The sequence below is a fragment of the Homo sapiens genome, chromosome 19 (genome assembly GCF_000001405.40).
Source record: "Homo sapiens chromosome 19, GRCh38.p14 Primary Assembly".
Classification (NCBI taxonomy): Eukaryota; Metazoa; Chordata; class Mammalia; order Primates; family Hominidae; genus Homo; species Homo sapiens.
In genome coordinates, this window is record NC_000019.10 from 56786243 (window position 1) to 56809716 (window position 23474).

At 41.4% G+C, this 23474-nt stretch overlaps 1 protein-coding gene and 1 long non-coding RNA gene across 16 annotated transcripts in view; one reads left to right on the plus strand and one right to left on the minus strand.

The window, feature by feature from the left end:
- The window catches only part of ZIM2-AS1 (ZIM2 antisense RNA 1), a 34325-nt gene extending 20921 nt beyond the window's left edge, over positions 1–13404 (plus strand). The window contains exons 2-4 of the long non-coding RNA NR_110744.1: positions 3686–3836; positions 4813–5065; positions 11751–13404. This is a non-coding gene — a long non-coding RNA (ZIM2 antisense RNA 1). The remainder of the gene's footprint in view (positions 1–3685; positions 3837–4812; positions 5066–11750) is intronic.
- ZIM2 (zinc finger imprinted 2) overlaps positions 1–23474 on the minus strand; it is a 66180-nt gene that overhangs the window by 11696 nt on the left and 31010 nt on the right. For all 15 annotated transcript variants that reach the window (NR_163141.1, NR_163140.1, NR_163143.1 and 12 more), the window contains one exon: positions 3630–3709. Coding sequence is in view for 11 of the 15 variants with exons in the window: in NM_015363.5 (NP_056178.3) it covers positions 3630–3709 (80 nt within the window). In the remaining 4 variants the exon portion in view is untranslated. The remainder of the gene's footprint in view (positions 1–3629; positions 3710–23474) is intronic.

Genomic DNA, 23474 nt, shown 5'->3' on the forward strand with positions numbered 1-23474 from the left:
CCAATTTTCTTCCCCTTGAAGGCAATATCCTCCTTAAGAATGCGTGTTCCAGGACATGACTTTCAAGGAAAAGGCCCTTTTCAATTGCTCTGTGACTTTTTGGCACCCCCATATGGTTCTAAGAACACTTTTTTCCCTCAAACAGAGCCTGACACCGGTAGACGTTGGTGAATAAACAAACAGATGATGACACTACCAGAATCATTTGTATAATCTTGTACAACCTGAAAAAAGTTTTATGTTTGATGATTTCATTAAACTATTATTCATTATTTTGGAGGAAATACATGGTAGGACATAACTACCTTTCCTTTTTTTAAAATTCTGGACTATTCTAGCCTATCCATGCTTCCCAGTGGACCCCATTGTCTCAAATCCCCAAATCCAAAAATTTAGTTGAAATAGGACGGCCAGATAAAATTCAGCATGCCCAGTTAAATTTGAATTTCACTAAGTTTTAAGGGGCTGAGTTTTTTTAAATCTTTGACAATTTCATTCATGGATAGTGTGTTGGGTGGGAAGAGCACTGGGCTGGCAGTTCAGAGACCTGGGTTCAAGTACTGTACTGTTTTATTGTTTTTTGTTTTGTTTTGTTTTTCTTGTTTGTTTTTTGAGATAGAGTCTCACTCTGTTGCCCAGGCTGGAGTGCAGTGGTGCAATCTCAGCTCCCTGCAACCTCCACCTCCTGGGTTCAAGCAATTCTCGTGCCTCAGCCTCCCAAGTAGCTGGGATTACAGGTGTGTGTCACCACGCCCAGCTAATTTTTGTATTTTTAGTAGAGATGCGGTTTCGCATGTTGGCCAGGCTCGTCTTCAACTCCTGACCTAAGGTGATCCGCCTGCCTTGGCCTCCCAAAGTGCTGGGGTTACAGGTATGAGCCACTGCACCCGGTCTGTACTGTTATTTAATTTCATTGGACAAGACAGGTAACATCTCTGATCTGGACCTTGATCTATAAATGGTCATTGTACTTTTTGTATCATAGGGTTTTGTGAAGAACAAATTTTGTTATGTGTCTATTAAAAATCTTTTTTGGTTTTGTTTTTGTTTTTTGAGATGGAGTCTCACTCTCACTCAGGCTGGAGTGCAGCGACATGATCTTGGCTCACTGCAACCTCTGCCTCCCAGGTTCAAGTGAGTCTCCCACCTCAGCCTCCCAAGTAGCTGGGATTACAGGCATGTGCCACCACGCCCAGCTAATTTTTGTATTTTTAGTAGAGACGGGGTTTCACCATGTTGGTCAGGCTGGTCTCGAACTCCTGACCTCAGGTGATCCTCCCACCTTGGGAGGGATATTGGCCTGAAATTTTCTTTTTTTGTTGTCTCTGCCAGGTTTTGCTATCAGGATGATGCTGGCCTCATAAAATGAGCCTCTTTTTCTATTGTTTGGAATAGTTTCAGAAGGAATGGTACAAGCTCCTCTTTGTACCTCTGGTAGAATTCGGCTGTCAATCTGTCTGGTCCTGGGTTTTTTTTTTTTTTTTTTTGGTTGGTAGGCTATTAATTACTGCCTCAATTTCAGAACTTGTTATTGGTCTATTCAGGGATTCGACTTCTTCCTGGTTTAGTCTTGGGAGGGTGTATGTGTCCAGGAATTTATCCATTTCTTCTAGATTTTCTAGTTTATTTGTGTAGAGGTGTTTATAGTATTCTCTCATGGTAGTTTGTATTTCTGTGGGATCAGTGATGATATCATTTTTTATTGTGTCTTTTTGATTTTTTATTGTGTCTATTTGATTCTTCTCTCTTTTCTCCTTTATTAGTCTGGTAAGCAGTCTATCTGTTTTGCTGATCTTTTCAAAAAACCAGCTCCTGGAGTCATTGATTTTTTTTGAAGGGTTTTTTTTTTTGTCTGTATCTCCTTCAGTTCTGCTCTGATCTTAGTTATTTCTTGTCTTCTGTTAACTTTTGAATTTGTTTGCTCTTGCTTCTCTAGTTATTTTAATTGTGATGTTAGGGTGTCAATTTTAGATCTTTCCTGCTTTCTCCTGTGGGCATTTAGTGCTATAAATTTCCCTGTAAACACTGCTTTAGCTGTGTCCCAGAGATTCTGGTACGTTGTGTCTTTGTTCTCATTGGTTTCAAAGAATTTATTTATTTCTGCCTTAATTTCGTTATTTACTGAGTCATTCGGGAGCAGGTTGTTCAGTTTCCATATAATCGTGCGGTTTTGAGTGAGTTTCTTAATCCTGAGTTCTAAATTCTTTTCCTTAAGAATGTTGATATTGACCTCCACTCTCTTCTGGCTTGTAGGGTTTCTGCAGAGAGATCTGCTGTTAGTCTGATGGGCTTCCCTTTGTGGGTAACCCGACCTTTCTCTCTGACTGCACTTAACATTTTTTCCTTCATTTTAACCTTGGTGAATCTGATGATTATATGTGTCTTGGAGTTGCTCTTCTCAAGGAGTATTTTTGTGGTGGTCTCTGTATTTCCTGAATTTGCATGTTGGCCTGTCTTGCTAGGTTGGGGAAGTTCTCCTGGATAATATCCTGAAGAGTGTTTTCCAACTTGTTTTATTCTCCCCGTCACTTTCAGGTACACCAATCAAACGTAGGTTTTGGTCTTTTCACATAGTCCCATATTTCTTGGAGGCTTTGTTCATTTCTTTTCATTCTTTTCTCTCTAATCTTGTTTTCATGCTTTATTTCATTAAATTGATCTCCAGTCTCTGATATCCTTTCTTCTGCTTGATCGATTCGCTATTGATACTTATGTATGCTTCATGAAGTTCTCATGCTGTGTTTTTCAGCTCCATCAGGTCATTTATGTTCGTCTCTAAACTGGTTATTCTAGTTAGCAATTCCTCTAACCTTTTTTCAAGGTTCTTAGCTTCCTTGCATTGGGTTAAAACATGCTCCTTTAGCTTGGAGGAGTTTGGATAAACAACAGTTTTTTACATAAGTATGTCTTAAATATGAAACATTGCATCCTTATGCAAAAAATTGTCTATCTGAAATTCAAACTTCATAGTTATGCTAAAAATTTATTTATACTTATGCTAAAAATTTATTTGTAGTTCATCTAAAATTCAAATTTAATTTGGATGTTGTGTATATTTACTTGCTAAATCCGGCCAGCCGAAGTTGCAGTAACTGCACTACCTTAGGCAGCAATAACTAAGTGGTTATGAATGTGGACTCTAAAGCCAGACTGCCTGGGTTCATATCTCAATCGTATTATTTAACAGCTGTGTTACCCTTCAGCATATTATTTAGTCTTTCTGCCTCCACTCCCTCATATATAAAAAGGGGAACAATAATAATGCAAACCACACAAGGGTTTTTCTGAATAAAATAGAATACTAAAAAAATAAGTAAACAATTAATTCAAAAGACAGAAAAAAAGGAAAAATATTAAATATATAGTATGTGGGATGGTGATAAGTACAACAGAGAAAAGTAAAGCACGGAAGGAGGATAAAAGAGTCAGAAGGATTTTTCTTGGAGAAATAAGAAAAAAAAGAATCATAAGCAAATGTCAGATTAGTCAGAAAAAAGGCTCAGTAAAGTGATATTTATATAAAAACTTAATGGAAATGAGTATGTGGTTTAATTAAATAAGGAAGTCCACAAATTAGGAAGATAAGATCCCCATATTTGATAACCATGTCAGAGGAAAGCCTGACTCACCTGGGACCCAGCAGATGGCAGATTGTCTAACATCTCTGTGTTCCTCTTTTCTGCAGGGACAGAGTCCTGAGCAAGGAAACCTAGAAGGGAGAGAGGAATACCATGGAATTGAGTCCTGTCTGGTAGCACTGACAGACACAGTGGCCAGCCACCCTCATGCCACCCTGTCCTGCCATGGGAAGGAACAGCAGCTCTAGAGTTCCTATGGTGAGAAAGTCAGATATCATTTCTCAACTCAAAATAACAAGTTCCAAAAGAGAGCTCTGGTTATTTCCCAGCTCTAAATGCTTCAATGGCTCCCACTGCCTTCCAAATAAAGTGAAAGTTCCCTCCATATCAGTCATTTCGGGCCTCACTGTCCAGTCAAGATCACCACAGAACCTCTGTTTCTCAACTGTAAAGCAGAAATAATGACAATACCTATACAGTAGTCCCCACTTATCTGAGGTTTTGTTTTCTGCAGTTTCAGTTACCCATGGTCAATTGGGGGTCAAAAATATTTAATGGAAAATTCCAGAAATAAATAATTCATATGTTATAAATTGTGTGCCATTCTGGTGATGAAATCTCACACTTTCCTGCTCTGTCCCACCTGGGACATGAATCATCCCTTTGTCCAGTGTATCCACTCTGTATACACTACCCCTTAGTCACTTATTAGCTGTCTTGGTCATCAGATCAACTATCACGGTATCACAGTGCTTGTGTTCATGTAGACCTTATTTTACTTAATAATGCCCCCAAAGCACATGAGTAGTGATGCTAACCTACTGTTATAATTGTTCCATTTTATAACTAGTTGTTAATATCGTACTGTGCCTAATTAATAAACTTCGTCACAGATATGTATGTAGAGGAAAAGACATAGTATATATAGGGTTTGATAATATCCACACTTTCAAGTGTGTTAGAATGTATGCCCCTCAGATAAGGGGAGTATACTATACCTCTAAGGGCTCTTGTGAGAATTAAACATTACATATGTAAGGCACACAGTAGGTATTTTTTTGGTAAATGGCAGCTCTTATGATTAAGCCTTTCCTACATATTTTTCACTCGTTGATCTAAAAGACAACCACCCCTTTCCCTCCAGGAGCCTTAACCTTGATGGCCTTCCTTGCCTATATATTCTCTTTTCTCGGTAAACCCTTCATTAATCTGTTTTTTCTTTCTGGTACCCTAGGGAACTCTCTTTCCTTCTCACTGAACTCTAGCTTCATCAATAACTCAGTGCCTCTGGCCAAGTTTTTAGCCTCTGGGACAACATCCACTATATCCATATGAGGCACTCATGTAACACGGTGATTAAGAGTACAGATGCTGAAGCCAGCAGCCTAAGTCTGAATCCTGACTGCCAATTATTAATATAAGTTGTGGAACCATGGTCAAGTTACTCAACCTCTTTATGCCTCTGTCTCCTGGTCTACGAAATGAAGGTAATACCTATTTCACAGAGCTATTAATAGAAGAAAATGAATTAACATGAAAGAACACCTATGATAATACATTAAAACATTCTAAGTGCTCAAGTGTTCACTATTAGCATTTTAAAAATTCTTTTAAGTAATGTGGGAGCACAGAATGGGATTAATCATAATCCTTAGTTCATGATATGCTATCTTTATTGAGCCATGCATGGCTCTCATGGTTATTTTAAATTCATTTGTTTATATTTTTAAGTATAATTAAGGCCTGTGAATGTACTATCCAACCCAAAAGTATAACATTCCCAATAACTTACATCTGCCTGTGTGCTTCTTTCATGTCCATACTCGAGCCTTCCCTCTAGAGATAAGTATGCCCTGAGGTCTGGTGTTAGTATTCATTGTTCCCTTGCTATATATATGCCCCAAACAATACTTTGCTTTTAGTTAGTATTATTTGTTTCAAAGCACTATAAGGACCCAGTGGCTTTCTTCTCTCATTCTTGAAATGCCTCCTTAGCTCTAATCTAATAACTTGAGTTTCTAAGATACCAGTCAAATTTTGGCAGAAGTTGAACTTCCAGTCTTTGTATCTCCCACATTTTATGCCCCCTTGCATCTAAAATTTAGCTAATCATTCTTGTTCTTGAATAGAAAGACTAAATAATGTAAAGACCAATTTTCCCAAATTTACACTTAATATATTAATGCCACAAGCAATCCCAGGAGTTTTTTTTTTTTTTTTGTAGTGTGTCTGTCTTGTTTTATGTTGCAACTAAGGTTTACACTGGATAAGAAATGTGAGGCAAGGTGAACAAAGCTGATACACTCAGAGAAATAGTATATGTTAAAAGCAAAAGCCAAACCCACATAGGCATAAAAAGGAATGAAATCATGTCCTCTGCAGCAACATGGGTGCAGCTGAAGCCATTAACCTAAGCAAATTAACACAGAATCTGCGGTGGCTCTTGTCTATAATTCCAGCATTTTGGGAGGCTGAGGTGATCCACCCGGATCACAAGGTCAGGAGTTCGAGACCAGCCCTACCAACATGGTGAAACCCCGTCTTTACTAAAAATACAAAAATTAGCCAGGCGTGGTGGTGGGCCCCTGGAATTCTAGCTACTCGGGAGGCTGAGGCAGGAGAATTGCTTGAACCCGGGAGGTGGAGGTTGCAGTGAGCTGAGATCATGCCACTGCACTCTACCCTGGGCGACAGAGCAAGACTCTGTCTCAAAAAAAAAAAAAAAAAAAAAAAAAAAGAGAAAACCAAATACTACATGTTTCCGCCTTTAAGTGGGAGCTAAACACTGGGTATACATGGACTCTAAGACGGGAACAATAAACACGGAAAATTCCAAAAGGGGGTAATGAGGAAGGAGGGCAAAGGTTGAAAAACTGCCTATCCAGTACTATGTTCACTACTTGGGTGACAGAATCATTAGAAGCCCAAACTTCAGCAGCATCCAATATACCCATGTAATAAACTTGCAAATGCACCCCTGAACTTAAAATAAAAATTTTAAAATAACCCAAACACCAAATTTCTTTCATCTCACATGAGATTAGGCAGATCAGACTGAATGTATAAAATGCATTCTTTCATTCATTCACTCAACAAAATTTCTATTTAGCTCCTATTACGTGCCAGGCATACAGCAGATATTCAATAAACAGAAGCAGCCAGTTGCTTCCTCCTTCTCACCTTCCTTCTCACATGCCTGAATAAAGTTTGCCACCATGGTTCCTGCCTCTTTGCTGTTCTTGGGCTGTTTTGACCTCACCCATGTCTGAATCTCCTCTGGCAGGGTGCTCAGAAACTGTGTCAGCACTAGTTGCTCTATCATCTGCTCCTTGGTGAGGATCTCTGGCTGCAGCCATTGCAAACAGAGCTCCTGGATTTGGCTCACAGCTTGATGAGGCCCATTCACTGACAGGTACTGAAAATCCCCAAACTTTTGATGAGAAACTTTCAGTGTCTCTGTTTCTAGTTTCTTCTCTTGACCACACACACAAAAGATGTAGGGATTCCTCAAGATATCTGAAACCCCTGTCACATCCAGCATCTCTACACCTTGGCCCTTTACAGGACAGAGCTACTCTTAAAGGCAGGCTGCTCCAGTACACAATGTTGTGGAAGACGGTAGGCAGGGCTGTATCAGCTGAAAGGATACAGAAACCTCAGGACCTGCAGAAATTACATACAGACTTACAACTAGCCTGCATAGTTATGATTGGACAGTGGAGTGAAGGTGATCTGAACAAGTATTACACAAAAGATGACAGCTATAAATAGCCAATCAACATAAAACAAGGCTAAACTTCATTAGTTATCAGAGATATAGGAATTAAAACCCCAATAGGATAACACTATGCACCCTCCAAAATGTCCAAAATGAAAAAGTCAGACAATACCAAGTGTTGACAAGGATAATAGAGCCACAGTAGGATGATATATTTGTATATTGGAATGCTAAACAGAAAATATGAATGTTAAGTTGCTGTTGAATGAAAGAAACCAGGCTCAAAAAAAAAAGGTCTGTATTATATGATTCCATTTATATAAAGGTCAAAAACAGGCAAAATAAACCTAAAGTGTTTGAAGTCAGAATAGTGGCTGCTGTTGGGGGGAAGGGTGGTAATGACTGGAACCAGGCATTAGGGCTTCTGGAAAGCTAGGAATGATGTGGACACAGTGTATTCACTTTCTGAAAACTGAGCTACACATTTGTGGTTTGTGCCCTTTTCCATATGTATATTTTGCTAAACATTTATTAGCTGTATTATAGTTGTAGGAAAACATCTAGTCATAATATCAAGCGGAAAAAGGAAACCTGTACATAACAATATATGCTTACCCATATAAAGCAGAGAAAAGGTGGTAAACCAAAATACTGTGCCAGTGGGTTAAGTACGAACGGTAATATTATAAGTGATTTTTATAGGTGATTTTGTACTTTCTCTCAAAACTATTTTCTAGCTTCAAGATGTTCTACAACAAACCTTCATTTCTTCTGTAATCACAGAAATAAAACATACCTTCCATAAAGGCTACACTCACTCTAAGAAACCATGAACAAAGATGCCACTTGGGGAAAACATTTTTTTCTTTTCTTATCCCCACTAAAACTTACGCCTTTTATTTCTATAATTTAACAGTTTTTCCATTTGAAAGCATTTATTTTTGTTTTCCATTAGAAATCATAACGTAATGAACATCACTGAAACTAAGTATTTGCTCCCAAATTACATAGACAAAAGGGATAAACTGTTTTTAAAAGTTCTTGACACAATCTGCCAAATTTTCCTTTCAACGGCTACCAACTTCTTCTTCCAAACTCAATGTATAAGATTACATGTCTCACTCAGTCCACCTTACAAGCCAATAGTGCCATCTTCATGGGCTTGTAATCAGGGCAGTCACAAGAGCCCCATTCTCATAAAGCCCACAGGCCTAGTTTAATGCTTTACTGTCACTCTCTTGAAATTTTTCACAATTTTTTGGACAAGGAGCCCCACATTTTCATTTTGCCCTAGGCCCTGCAAATTATGTAACTGGTTCTGCCAATCAAGAGCATTATCATCCCTCAAAATCTGTTGTCAATTAGACAGATTGAAAAATATATCATTTTATTCTTTAATTTTACATTTCTTTTGATTAATAATACGGCTTTCTCTTTGTTTCAGATTTACAAGCCAATTATAAATTGTTCACGCCCTTTGTGCTTCTTTACATTGGGGTGTTTCTTTTTTTTCTTTTCTTTTTTTTCTTTTTTTGAGGCAGAGTCTCGCTCAGTCGCCCAGGCTGGAGTGCAGTGGCGCAATCTTGGCTCACTGCAACCCCTGCCTCCTGGGCTCAAGTGATTCTCAAGCCTCAGCCTCCGGCCTTGGGGTGGGCTCCAGGCCCACCAGCGCAGAGCCGTCCTGGGTCCCTCCCTGCAGGGGCACCGATTTTAGGGCAGTCAGACGCAGCCCTCGCCTCTGGGGTGGCTTTTCCACCACAAGGCCCCAGTAGGGCCCGCCGCGGAGTCTTCCTCACGAAGCCGCGCGCTGCCCCGCGCTGGATGCCTCTTGCGCCCTCAAGTCCACTGGGGCCCCAGCCCCGCCCAGGCCCCTGGCTGGGCTACCCGCTCGCCGGCCGCTATCCTACCCCGGGCCCAGCGAACTTACCTCGCACGCCTCACGCCCTGGCCTGGCTGAACGTCTCCACGCCCTGACCAAAACCAGCAGCGCATGCGCCGTGGCTGGCTTGCGCGTGCGCTCTGCGGTGGACGGGCTGAGGAACCACAGCCGCTCCTGGCCAAGTGCCCTGTGAGACACGAGGATAGGGTTGGTACGGCGAGGAGAAGGGCGGCGACGTAGGAGGGCGCTCCTGTGACCTTCCTTCTTAAAACTAACGCCTTCTGTTGGTGGTGGGCGCCTGTAACCCCAGCTACTCGAGAGGCTGAGGCAGGAGAATTGCTTGAACCTGGGAGGCAGAGGTTACAGTGAGCCGAGATCGCGCCACTGCACTCCAGCCTGGGCGACAGAGCGAGACTCCACCTCAAAAAAACAAAAACAAAACAAAACAACAAAAAAACTAATGCCTTATGTAAGTTTTGGAGAGTTAATATGTTACTTAGAACTTGAGGATAAGTGGTAAAAATAAAAAATAACAAACTAATTTCAAAAATTTGAAAATAAGCGGTAGTCAGTGAAAACCCTTCCTCACACCACGTGTGCACCATTCACCAAAATTTTACCCCCAAAACATACGTAACCACTGTAACTGATCTGAAGTGCCCCACCAATGTTTCTTTATACTTGTAGAAGAAATGTATATGTATATGTGTGTAAGGCTTCCCTCAGTATTCCTGGGGGATTTGTTTTAGGACCCCCCAGGGTATCAAATTTTGTGGACGCTGAAGCCTCATGTAAAATGGCATAGTATTTGCATATAATCTATGCACATGCTTAGGCATACTTTAAATCATCTCTAGATTACTTACATTACCTAGTACAGTACCTACACATCATTCTTGCGGATTTGACAGTACGCAGCACACATGGCAAATTTAAGTTGTGGTTTTTGGAACTTGGTGGAATTTTCTTCCAAATTTTTCTTTTTCTTTTTTTTTAACTTTGTTAGAGATGATGTCTCACTCTGTCACCCAGGCTAGAGTGACAGAACAGTGGCATCCCCGAAGCTGGATGCCACTGCTGCAGGTTGGCTCCACTCATGCCCGAACCTCTAAGCTGGAGGCTGATCCCCGCTGGAGAGCGGGTCAGTCCTCTAGGCCCAGAAATGACCAAGCAAAGCTTACCCTCTGGCTGCTCACCCATGGACAACTGGGGTGAGCTTGCTCAGTGAGTCCACTAAAGGTCCCCCAGGCAGTGGGGGGTGGGGAGGCTGACCATATGCCCAGAATGAGTGGGACAAAGAGCAGGCAAATGAAAGCGTTGCCAGAAAAGGGTCTTGATCCAAACCCCAAAAGAGGGTTCTTGGATCTCACACAGGAAGGAATTCAAGGCAAGTCACAGAGCATGGTGAAAAAGGCAAGTTTATTAGAAGCTATTCCATTACAGAGTAGGGTGTCGTCAGAAAGCAAGCAGACAAACACACCATCTTTGTTTTAAGTTTTTAGGGGTCTTGTCTACGTAAAGACTAAACTAAGCTGTGACTACGTGAGGGTGAGCTGAAAGCATGACAAAATTTATTATTCTATTGATTTAAAGAGGCCAGGCACGGTGGCTCAGCCAGGCTTGGTGGTTCACACCTGTAATCCCAGCACTTTGGGAGGCTGAGGCAGGCAGATGACCTGAGGTCAAGAGTTTGAGACCAGCCTAATCAACATGGTGAGACCCCCTCTCTACTAAAAATATTTTTAAAAAATAGCTGGGTGTGGTGGTGCACACTTGTAGTCCTAGCTACTCAGGAGGCTGAGGCATGAGAATGGCTTGAACTCGTGAAGTGCAGTGAGCTGCCCACTGCACTCCAGCCTGGGCAACAGAGTGAGACTATGTCTCAAATAAATAAATAAACAAATAAATAAATAAATAAGCTGTGACTATGTGAGGGTGAGCTGAAAGCATGACAAAATTTATTATTATATTGATTTAAAGAAAACCATCCTTAGAAAGGTGAGAGAGGAATTGAAGGGTTGACAGTGTAGACTACAGAACCAGGAAATGACCTACCAGCAAGTCTTTTATGTGTGTGTGTTCTTTTCTATTTCTTTCTGTTTATTCCTGTTAGTGTTTGTTCTCTTATGCCTGTGAAAACCTCCTACATGTCAATTTCCATGCACTGGAGGAACTTGGATTTCTCCCCGTCTTAAAAGTACCTCTTTCTTCTTCTCCTCCTTCTTCCCCTCCTCCTCCTCCTCTTCCTCCTCCCTGAGGCCCTAAAAACAAGGTGGCCTTGGCTGCTCTACCAAAAGGAGGATGATTCAGAGGCTGTGAGTTTAAGGGACCACTTTTGGGGGATTGGAAGAAATCTCCATTATGAGGTTAAGGTACCTATGGGAGACTACCTGAGACAGGGTGCCAGTGATGCCCACTAGCCTCAATAAGACACCAGGGATGCCTGAGTGCAATGGCCAATATCGGTTTTGTGCACAGTAAGGAAAATTTAGAGCTTAAATGGTTAATCTGCTGCTACAGAGTTAAGTAGAATCCTCTAAAGCTCCATATCTTCCTTTCTTTTCTTCTCTGCCAGCTTTGAATCTGCTGTTATTAAGTTGCTGGTGCTGAAATAACACTTATTATTTATGATCTAACTGAAATGGGAACACTGGAAACTTCTTTGAAACTGAAGAAAAAAATGAAAAAGAAGTTTTTACAATCAAAACTGCCATGAAGACTGCTTTACCCAAAATTTTGGTCCACAGCTTTCATTGAATTACTTATCAGGGCAAACAAAGTTTAGCCATGTGAACACGTTCCAATTTTGTTGGAAATAATTTGGATCCAGCTATCTTTATACAATGGTGAGTTCGTATTGCATCTCATGGCTAAAATACTGAGGTAAAGGCTTTTGGATCTTTGTGTGTGTGTGTGTGCATGTGACAAAAACAAGCAATGGGGAAAGGAGTCCCTATTTAATAAATGGTGTTGGGAGAACTGGCTAGCCATATGCAGAAAGTTGAAACTGGAGCCCCTCCTTATACCATATACAAAAATCAACTCAAGATGAATTAAAGACTTAAATGTAAAAACCCAAACTATAAAAACCCTAGAAGAAAATCTAGGCAATACCATTCAGGACATGGGCACAGGCAAATATTTCATGACAAAGATGCCAAAAGCAGTAGCAACAAAAGCAAAAATTGACAAATGGAATCTAATTAAACTAAAGAGCTTCTGTACAGCAAAGAAATTATCATCAGAGTGAACAGACAGCTTACAGCATGGGAGAAAATTTTTGCAGTATATCCATCTGACAAAGGTCTAATATTCAGCATCTACAAGGAACTTAAACAAATTTACAAGAAAAAAAAACAACGCCATTAAAAAATGGGCAAAGGACGTGGACAGACACTTCTCAAAAGAAGAAATTTATGTGGGCAATGAACATTTTTTTTAAAAAAGCTCAACACCACTGATCATTAGAGAAATGCACATGAAAACCACAATGAGATACCATCTCACACCAGTCAGAATGGCTATTACTTAAAGGTCAAAAAACAACAGATGATAGCAAGGTTGTGAAGAAAAATGAACACTTTTATACGTTGGTTGGAGTATAAATTAGTTCTACCCTTGTCGAAGACAGTGTGGTGATTCCTCAAAGACCTAGGGGAAGAAATATCATTTGACCCAGCAATCTCATTACTGGGTATATACCCAGAGGAATATAAATCATTCTATTATAAAGATACATGTGCATGTTCATTGCAAAATAGCAAAAACATGGAATCAACCTAAATGCTCATCAATGACAGACTTGATAAAGGAAATATGGTACGTATACACCAAGGAATACCATGCAGCCATAAAAAGGAACAAGATAATGTCTTTTGCAGGGACCTGGATGGAACCAGAAGCCATTATCCTCAGCAAATTAATGCAGGAACAGAAAAGCAAATACCACATGTTCTCACTTGTAAGTGGTAGCTGAATGATGAGAACACATGGACACATGGTGGGGAACAATACACACTGGGGCCTGTTGCAGGGTGCGGAGTGGGAGGGAGAGCATCGGGAAGAATAGCTAATGCATGCTGGGCTTAATACCTAGGGGATGGAATGATCTGTGCTGCAAACCACTATGGCACACATTTACCTATGTAACAAACCTACACATCCTGCACATGTACCCCTGACCTTAAAATAAAAGTTGGAAATAAAAAAAACCCTAAACATATACCTACTACCTGATCCAGTGATTTCATTTTTAAGTATTTACCCAAGAGAAATAAAAACATATGGCCACACATGCAAAAGAAATACTTGTACATGAATGTTCTTAGCAGCTATATTCATAATAGCCAAAAATCTGGAAACAGCCCAGGTGTCAATCAATAGTAGAATAAATAACCAAAGTATGCTAGGTTCATGCGATGGAATACTACACTCAGCAAAAAAGGAACAAACTGCCTATACATGCGATAAAATGGATGAATATAGAAAAACATGCTGAGTGAAAGAAGAGTTACACAACGAATGCATGCTGTGTCATTCCATTCATGCTAATTCTACAACAAGCAAAACTAATGTGTGGTGAAAATAAATTGGTGGTTGCCCCTAAGGAGACAGAGTTGGAGACTGATTGATGAGGAGCAAGAGGGAATTTTGGGATTGACAATATTGTTTTGTATATTAATAGAGATTTGAGTTACACAGGTGTACATATTTTCCAAAACTCATTGAATAATATCCTTAAGATCTGTATGTTTTGATGTATGTAAATTTGACCTCACAATAGAAAAAAAAGAATCCTTAAAAAAATGAAAGAACTAAGTACATATAAATGGGAAAAATGCTTGTAGACAGACTTTTCATGTAATTTAAAATCTTATAATTATCTTGAATAATAAATACTCATTAGATGTTGGGTGTTTTCCAATTAAAAATGGGTTATAATATGAAAAAAACATGTTTCTAAAAATTACAGAATGGTTTCAGCTATAAAATGCTAACATCTGATAAACAGTTCAAGATTTATTGCTTCCTGAGTTTTCACTAAAATTTAAGGTTACTAAAAGTAAGAATTGCAATAATATATAACTCTGTAAGTTGTATTCTTATTGAGAAAACAATAATTTTATGTAGTTTAGAGGTTATTTAAAAGTTATTTATTTAAAAAGGTAGAAAGGAACCAGTAAGTAAGAGAGAGAAAGAGAGAAAAGATTTTTAGACATAAAGATGTATTTTTGGTAAGAAAAGAAATAATTTTATATAAGAAAAGGATTTCATGTGGTAAAGTTTTGTCCTAAAATAAAATGACCGATTATTTTAAAAGAGGTATGATAGAACAAATCAAAAGGTCCAAGCATGTCATAGATGGTCTGTGTAAGTTCATGATCAAGTCTGTGGAAGAAAATTTATAAAAGGAATTTTGTATATGATTAAGTTGGCTATAATTAATAAGAAATTATTCATAATAGTCTTTCTGAGATTGGTCCCCTATGTTAAAACAAGGTTTCTTGATGGTATTACTTTTTTTTTTTTTTTTTTTGAGACAGAGTCTTGCTCAGTCACCCAGGCTGGAGTGCAGTGGCACGATCTCGGCTCACTGCAACCTCCGCCTCCCAGGTTCAAGCAATTCTCTGCCTCAGCCTCCCGAGTAGCTGGGATTACAGGTGCCCACCACCATGCCCGGCTAATTTTTTTGTGTTTTTAGTAGAGACAGGGCATTCATCATGTTGGCCAGGCTGGTCTTGAACTCCTGACCTCGTGATCCACCTGCCTCGCCCTCCCAAAGTGCTGGGATTACAGGTGTGAGCCACCTCTCCCGGTCTCTTTATGGTATTAATTTACTATTAATGAGATTGTAAGAGGTTTTGATTTTTAATTCTATAATCTTTGACCTATAGCTCCCTTATCCTCAGTGGCCTCTGCAGGCAACACACTCCCTCCTTACCAATCCCCTTCAGACTCTGCTGAGGGACTCAGCCCAGCCACTACCTGGAGCAGGACATTTACCAGCCTTACTCTATGATGCCCCTTCCAGCAGATCCCCAGTGCGGAAATAGAGATGTTTGCTGTACATTTTCCCTTCACAACTTCAGAGCTTTATAACGGAAAGTCTCATTCTAAAGGACTAAGGGAAGATCCTGAGGGGTTTCAAAACCTCATTCAGAATAGTTTCAGACCCATGACCTCAACTGGGCAGACGTCCAGTCCCTTTTAATATTCTCCTCAGTGAAACAGAAAAATACCTCTGCTCTCAAAAGGGCAAGGGAGGAAGTGGACCAATCCCATAGAGAAGAGACAAACAATCCTATTGTAGCTCTCAGAGCACAGCAGACATTAGACATAAACTCCAAAAAGTAAAATTAGAGCTCGATGCTCTCATCTCAAGACTAGTAGACCTGGCCAATAAGGTGTCCAACAACCGGGATAGGGATGAAGAACATAAAGAAGACAGAGAGGACAAATGGCAAGCCCACCTACTGGCTGTTGCCCTCAAGTGCCAGCTGGATAACTCACAGGATACCTATCCATAAAGTACCACAGCTGAAGAGAGTGATCCCAGGTCCCCTAACTAACAGAAAGGATCCTAAAGACCTAAGGGACTAGGACCAAACCAACATGCCCTCTATAAGGGGGAGGATCACTGGAAAAGGGACTGTCTCCTTCATGTCTGAAGGGAGGGGGAAGAGGGCAGGTTCCACCAGGTGCCTCACAGAGGCAGATGGTCCAAGTAGTAAAAATGACAGGTCCTGGGGACTCCTCAATTGGCCCTCCAGGTGTCCATCCCCCAGGAGCCCAGGCTGACACTGGGCATGAGGAACAAGCCTGTTGACTTCTTGGTCAACACAGGGGGCCACCTACTTGGTTTTGAATACCCTCAAGGATAAAATTACCCACCAAAATTGACTATGGAAACGTGAGGGAAGGCAAAAGATAGCCCCTTTATTGAGCTCCTAAAATATAAACTAGATCAAACGAGATGCACTAAAAGGGATGGCCCCAATGATTAAAAAGCTTAGAAAACAGGGACTTCTGAGGGCCTGTCAATCCCCTTGCAGTACTCCTATCCTCCGTGTTAAGAAATCAAATGGAAAATACCAATTAGTGTAAGATTTAAGGACAATTAATGAGGTCACAGAAAACAGAAACCCAGGGTACCTAATCCTTATACTCTATGGTCCACTCTGCCTCCAAGTTGTACATGGTACTCAGTCCTGGATCTAAAAGATGACTTTTTCTGCATTCCACTGGCCACAGACTCTCAGCCTCTCTTCACTTTCAAATGGCAGGATCCTCAGACAGGCAGGAAACAGCAACTGACATTTACTGTGTTGACCCAGGTGTTCAAAAAACTTCCCCAAAATATCTGGAGAGGCCCTAGCCATGAAGCTGGAGGATCTGACCATTTCGAATGGATGGGAGAATGTGACCAAGCATTCCAAAAGCTAAAAACCCAGCTCACGAGAGACCCAGAATTAGCCCTACCTGATTTAAGCAAACCTTTCCATGTTTATGTTCATGAGAGGGGAAGAATTGCCCTAGGAATACATATTCAAAGGTTGGACCCACTGACCTGGGTAATGATCTACTTTTCCAAGCAGCTGGACTCAGTTGCTAAAGGATGGCCACCTTGCCTTTGGTTGGGGATGGCCATGGCCACCCTTTCAAAAGAGACAAAAAAGTTAACTGTCTGGACTCCCCACCATACCCAGACCCTCATAAAAGAAAGGGGGCAGAAGGGCTGTCCCCAGGCAAGGCTCTCCAGTTACAGGTAATGCTTATTGATGACCCCCACATAACTTTGAAGGTGTGTAACAGCTTGAACCCTGCCACCCTCTTTCCATCTGAAGATGGTTACCTATCTCACAACTGCTTAGAGGTGATGGTGAAGTGTACTCCAGTAGCCCAGACCTTAAAAGTGAACCTACTGAAAATGTGGAAGTCCAATGGTTCACTGGTAGGAGCAGCTATCTGCAAGAGGAACAGAGGAGGGCAGATGTGCTATGTTCTCTCCCACTGAAGTTATACAAGCCAGCGCTCTCTTGCCAGGATGCTCTTCACAGAAAGCAGAGCTTGTTGCTCTAACCCAGGCGTTAGAGTTTGGGGAAGGGAAAGTCCTCACCGTATACACTGATTCCAGGCACGTGTATTCCATCTTACACCCACATGGGGCTATTTGGAAGGAAAGGGGCAGGTTAAACTCTTAAACGTTAGTGCCATCATTTTAAGATTATTGGAAGCTGGAAGAAAACCAGCCCACATGGCAATAGTCCGTTGCTGAAGCCACCAGAAGTGGGACATTGAGGTAATTAAAGAAAATAATAAAGCCAACCTAGGGTCAAAACAGGCAGCTTTAGGGAAGGTCACATTCCAAATGCCACTTTTGCCTTTCCTCCTGGGTCCTGCTCTTTTAACCCCAGTTTTCTCTCAAAAGGAATGGAAAAAGGCGACCAAATGGGGTTATACCAAAAATCCTGACCATCCAGGATGGCTAATAAACCCTCGTGGACAATTTCTTTTCCTAAAAACAGTTGCACTGCAGGCCATTAAAAAGGCTCACTCTAACACCCACTTTGGTGAAGAAATCCTTTATAACTGATTTTGTGAAAGCATGACTGTCCCAAACTTCAGGGAGTCAATCAAAAAGGTGGCTGGGACTCATCCCACCTACTATGTTAATAACCCCTGATACCCACCCCACGTGGGGATAGCAGGGGTGAGAGGAACTCAGAGAGGGCTCCTCAGCTGGTCCAGTTCCAAGGTAGATGTCCAGGGGAAGATGAGAAAGTTTTCATAGTTATGCCCAGAGGCCTGGGAAACTTTAAATACCTCCTGATCTTCACTGACACCTTTTCAGGGTGGATAGAAGCCTTTGCCACCTGCACTGACACTGCACATCAGGTGGCAAAGGTGCTATTAAAGAAAGTTGTCCCAAGAATTGGGCTGCCTCAGTCAATCCAACTGAGGGACCAGCATTCATATCTTCCATTACTGAAGCTACTTCTCAAAGCCTAGAAACAAGATAGCACCCACATGCTACCTGGAGACCGCAGTCTTCAGGTAAGCAATGAGTAGGTGTAGCGATTTCTGTCAAGACTATTATTCCTACCTAATGGTTATTTCCTCTTCTACATGCTTGACGTACTATGATCTCATGTAACCCTCACAAGGTAGCCTCTGTTGTTATTTCTCCATTTTACAGAAGAGGAAACTGAGACAAGAAAGCTTCACTAACTTGTCCCACTCAGTATGATTAGAATGGGACAGGCAGAGGGTTAGGATTAGAAGTGTGCATCTAACCTTCTTCAAGGGTGGAAATTTCCAATCAGTTATGTTACAAACATTTGTAAAATAGGCATGTTCCAAGAATGGTACAAGTAATGCACTCACTTAAACCTTATAGTAACCCCGTAACGGGGGTACTAACACCAGCCCCATTTTACAGATGAGGAAACTGAGGCACAGAATAGTTAAGGAAATAACCCAAGATTGACAGCTGTTAGTGGCAGAGGCAATATTTGTGACCAGGCAGTTAGACCCCAGAGTCTGGGCTTTCAGCTTCACCAGGCTGGCATTTTCAGCTGCGAGGCATCAGAGTAGACTGGAGGGTTGGGTCTCTGCTCTGTCCCCCTTCCTTTGCAGAACCATCCTTCCTCTGCTCCAGGGTTTTTCAGCCTTGGCTCTACTGACATTTTGGGTCGGTTCATTCTGTGTCCTGGGGGTGGGGACACTGTCGTGTGCATTATAGGGTATTGAGCAGCTTCCACCTATGAGATGCTGGTAGCATCACCCCTTCAGTTGTGACAACCAGAAATGTTTCCAGACATTGCCACATGTCCCCTGGAGGGCAAATCGTTCAATCCCATTTGAGAACCACAGACTTACTCCACAATTTCATTGTTTAACTTTAGGGAGAGTCTGGGACCTTCCACTGGGAAGGGCCAGGCACGCAACTCAGGCTGGGCCAATAAGAGTCCTACATCCCCCAGTTGTGGATTGGTTCTGCAGTAGACATGTGACCCATCATGGACCAATCAAAATATTCCCCAATCCTTCCTTACTTGCTTTATCTAAGTGTCTCCCACTGATTGTTTATTAGTTGCAAGGAGGGAAACCAGAAAGTATTCAGTGGGTAAATCAGGCAACCACCTTGACTGGGTGGATCAAAACTAGCATCACCAGTGATGGCATATGGATCTCTTGTGGGTTAAAACGTGAGGTCCTGAAAGGACACAGAATCACTTATGTGGTATTCCAGGAACGACTGCATAACCTGAATCTAATTCATAGGAAAATGGCCCCCCAAACCCCAAAGTGTGTCAGAGTGTGACTTAGAAACCAAAGAAAGGCTGAGGAGGTTTTCCAGATTAAAGGAGGCTACTTTACAACTGCTAAACACAGGCCTGGTCCTAGCCCTAGAAAGGATACTGTACTGGAGAAAAAAAGAATATTTAAATGGAGGGTATTTAGCAAGTTGATAAAATTGGAATATTGACAGATTTGATAAAAGCACTGTGTCAATATTAAATGTGCAAAGGTTATAATAGTACCTCAGTTATGTAAGAGAAAATTCTTATTCTTAGGTGACACAGACTGAAGTATTCAGAGGTGAGCTTTGTGATGTGTGAAATCTATGCCCAGTGGTTATAAAAATAATGTATTAGGTATATATATAATAGAGTGTGCAAATGACAAAACAAATAGGAGAAATGTTACCAATCAGTGAAGATGGGTGATCTTTGTACTATTCTTGCAACTTTCCCATGAGCTTTAAATTATTTCCCAATATTTGTTTGTTTCATTCCTGTAATGAAGAGCCCCCAATTAATAGATGCTTAAATATGACAGATGTTTATTTCTCATGTAAAAGCCTGGATAGGTAGTCAAGAATCATCAGACATAAGCTCTTATCTCATTACTCTGACATCTTCAATACATGGCTTCCCTTTTTTGATCCAAGATGGTTGCTCCAGTTCCTACCATTATTTCTACATTCCAGCCTGTGGGGAAGGGGGAGGAGAGAGTAGAAGGCTGGTTGTGACCTGGAAATCACACATACCTTTACTGTGCTCATCCCATGGACCAGACATTAGTCACATGCCTACTTCTAGCTGCAAGGGAAGCTGAGAAAATATTTACTTCTTCTAAATAGCCACATAACCAGTCAACATTTAGCAAGAACAGGAGAATGTATATTGGGAGATATATTGTTACTGCCTTCCTCCCCGTACATACTGCTGTGGTCTGAATGTTTGTGTCCCCACAAAACTCATATGTTGATGTTCAAACCCCAATCCAACAGTACTAAGAGGTGGGGCCTTTAGGAGGTGATTAGGTCATGAGGGCTAAGCCCTCATGAATGGGATTAGTGCCCTTATAAAAGATGTGCAAGGGAGCTACCTAGCCTCTTTTGCCATGTGAGGATGCAGCAAGAAGTCATCATCTTTGAAGCAGAAAGCAAGCCCTCATCAGACTCCATATTTGCTGGCACCTTGATCTTGGACTTCCCAGCCTCCAGAACTGTGAGCAGTAAATTTCTGTTGTTTATAAATTCCCCAGTCTAAGATATTTTGTTATGGCAGCCCAAATATACACATACTCTTGGTTCCATGAGGGCAGGGACCATGTCTGATTTGTCCCCCACAGAATGCCAAATGCCCCAAACAGTACCTGACACTTACAAATGGCCCATCAATTATTGAATGAATTAAGGTGGCTTGGGAGTTCAGAGTCAGAGAAATTTTAAGAAGACCTTGCATGGAGAAGAGACCTCATGGTTCTTGAATAAAAGGCAAAACGTGGTTATAAACCAAAATGAAAATTGACTTCTTTCCCAGTGATCCCTGAAGACTAATTCAAGATGACAGGCAAATGACCAACGTATCCCTTTATGCGCTTCCTCATGATGGGATGAGGGAAAAAATAGAATAAAGAACTTAAATCAGAATTTTTTGAGAAAGTGAGTTCCCATTTGTATCATGTTATGATTATACAGACAGAAACTTTCCATATGTTCAGCTGTGATAGGATAGATTCCCTTGAAAATAAGTCTTCTTGAGTTTGGAATGGTCATCAATATCTCTGACAGGGCAACAACAACAAAAAAACATGTCTAGGCCAGGCACAGTGGCTCACGCCTGTAATCCCAGGATTTTGGGAGGCCAAGGCAAGAGGGTCACTTGAGCCCTGGGCACCATATTGAGATCCTGTCTCTACAAAAAATTAAAAAATTGGCTGGGTGTGGTGGCACCTGCCTGTGATCCCAGCTACACAAGAAGGTGAGGCCAGAGGATCACTCGAGCCCAGGAGGTTGAGGCTGCAGTGAGCTGTGTTTGTGCCACTGCACTTCAGGCTGGGCAACAGAGTGAGACCTTGTCTCAAAAAAAAAAAAGAAAATTAAAAAGAAAACACATTTGTGCTAGAATTCTCTGCTTGCAAGTAACTTAAATTCATTCAGGTTAATTTAAGGGGGAAACTGGATCTTACTGGAATAATATTGTGTAGCTTAAAATAGTGAGTAAAGAGTTATCAGTCCTTCTAGTAGGACAGCAATCAAAGAAGACTTGTTAATCTCACTAGGGGGAAATAATAGACTGCCTTTTCTCAGTGTGGCCATAAGAATGACTGGGCTTTGAACACCTTCAATCCATGTATTGCTCTACTGAAAATTCAAATTCTTGGGTGAGGAAGTCTGACTGGTCTACCCCAAACCATGTAATTAGTCCTTTGCTGGCATGAGGGAGGGGCAGGGATGGTGATCAGAAGGAATGGGGTCAGGATAGTCCACCAAAACCATGCAGTGTGCTGTTATTTAACGGATGCTGGGCATACAGAAGAGCTATCCTGGACAATTCACCCTTTGGCTTTGTGGAAGAAACCATGCAATTATCACGGGGAACCTTCTTGAACTACTTTGGTTTGAGAGTAGTCTCCCCAGATTTTTTCTGTACTCCTTGCTGCTTCATATGGTATATAAGTGGTACGAGGCATGCAGTAAGTCAGCAGACATTCCTGAGAGGCTGGTGGGCAGGAAAAGTCAAGTCTAAGTCCAGAATGAATCTCTATTCCATGAGGCTACAAAACTGCCCTTTCTGTGGTTAAAAGGGCTTGGTATGATCAATCAATCTGCTGTCTGGCTGGTGGGGAGATATGGTACCAGTCCTGGCTTCTTCATCACTCCTGCCTTTCTAGGGGAGGAGTGACTTAAACTCGAGAGCTGGCTAGCCTGCAGACAGTGTATGTTCATTGCTCTTCACCCTGCAATGTTCTGATCCCCAACAATTAGTGTTTAGATTCAACATCCACTAATCCTTGAGAGGTTTGTCAAAAAATGGATTAACCATGTAAAAGAAACCAAGGGCAGGCAGTTCAGCCAGACTCCACAAGGCACTGGGGTGGATGAGGCACCAGGAACCAGGATTCCCTCTGGCTTTATGGTCTATTTCCTTCTAGGCCTGTTTATTCACAAGTATACCCAGCCCCAACCCATATGACCACCTAGGTAGCCCTCACTCTGAGTCTGACTGGACACGGGGAACCTATGGGCATCAATCAACTGACACCAGGGAGAGGTCAAGTCTAACAGAATAAGCATAGCAGTAGGGAAGTTAGTTACCCCTTCAACTGGGTTGTGGGGTGGAGGAAGGAATTGCCCAAGAGTATAAGGATTGGTCAAACAACCCCTAATGACACCTACTTCATTCCCTTCCTTTACAGCCTCTTGTAACACATTATTTAGGAAATCCATCCTTAAAAAGTCCCAATCCTCCCACCCTGACCTATGCTGATGCTCGTCACAGAATGACCATGGAAGCTGTGACCAAATAGTCAGATGCCACAAGATATAAAGTTCTAAGAACATGAAAGAATGCAGGACTCTGTCAAATCCTAGTTAGAATTAGTGGCAAGTACACTTTTATATCTTAAGAACAAAATCCAATCATGTGACATGAAGGATATTAGACGGGCATGAAGTACACAATCATCTCCTCCTCCGACTTATGGAATCAGGGACACAGCAGCCGCAAATTGGGTATGGTGCTATCCACTGTGGTCGCCAACAGGGTTCCAGTTAGCAAGCTGGTTGAAAAGCTCTGATCATTATGGAATCACAGGCATGTTTAAAAATTACTCTCAGGGATGACAATCTACTGAATTGCATGGGATGTTTCTCGTGGGGAAGTCAGGTTAAAGTATGGTTAATGAACTTGGGGGAAAAACAGTACAGAGATGACCCACTCAGGATAATTACCTTTTAACCTCAGGCAAGAGTCAGGAATAAACACTTGAGATTCTATAACATAGT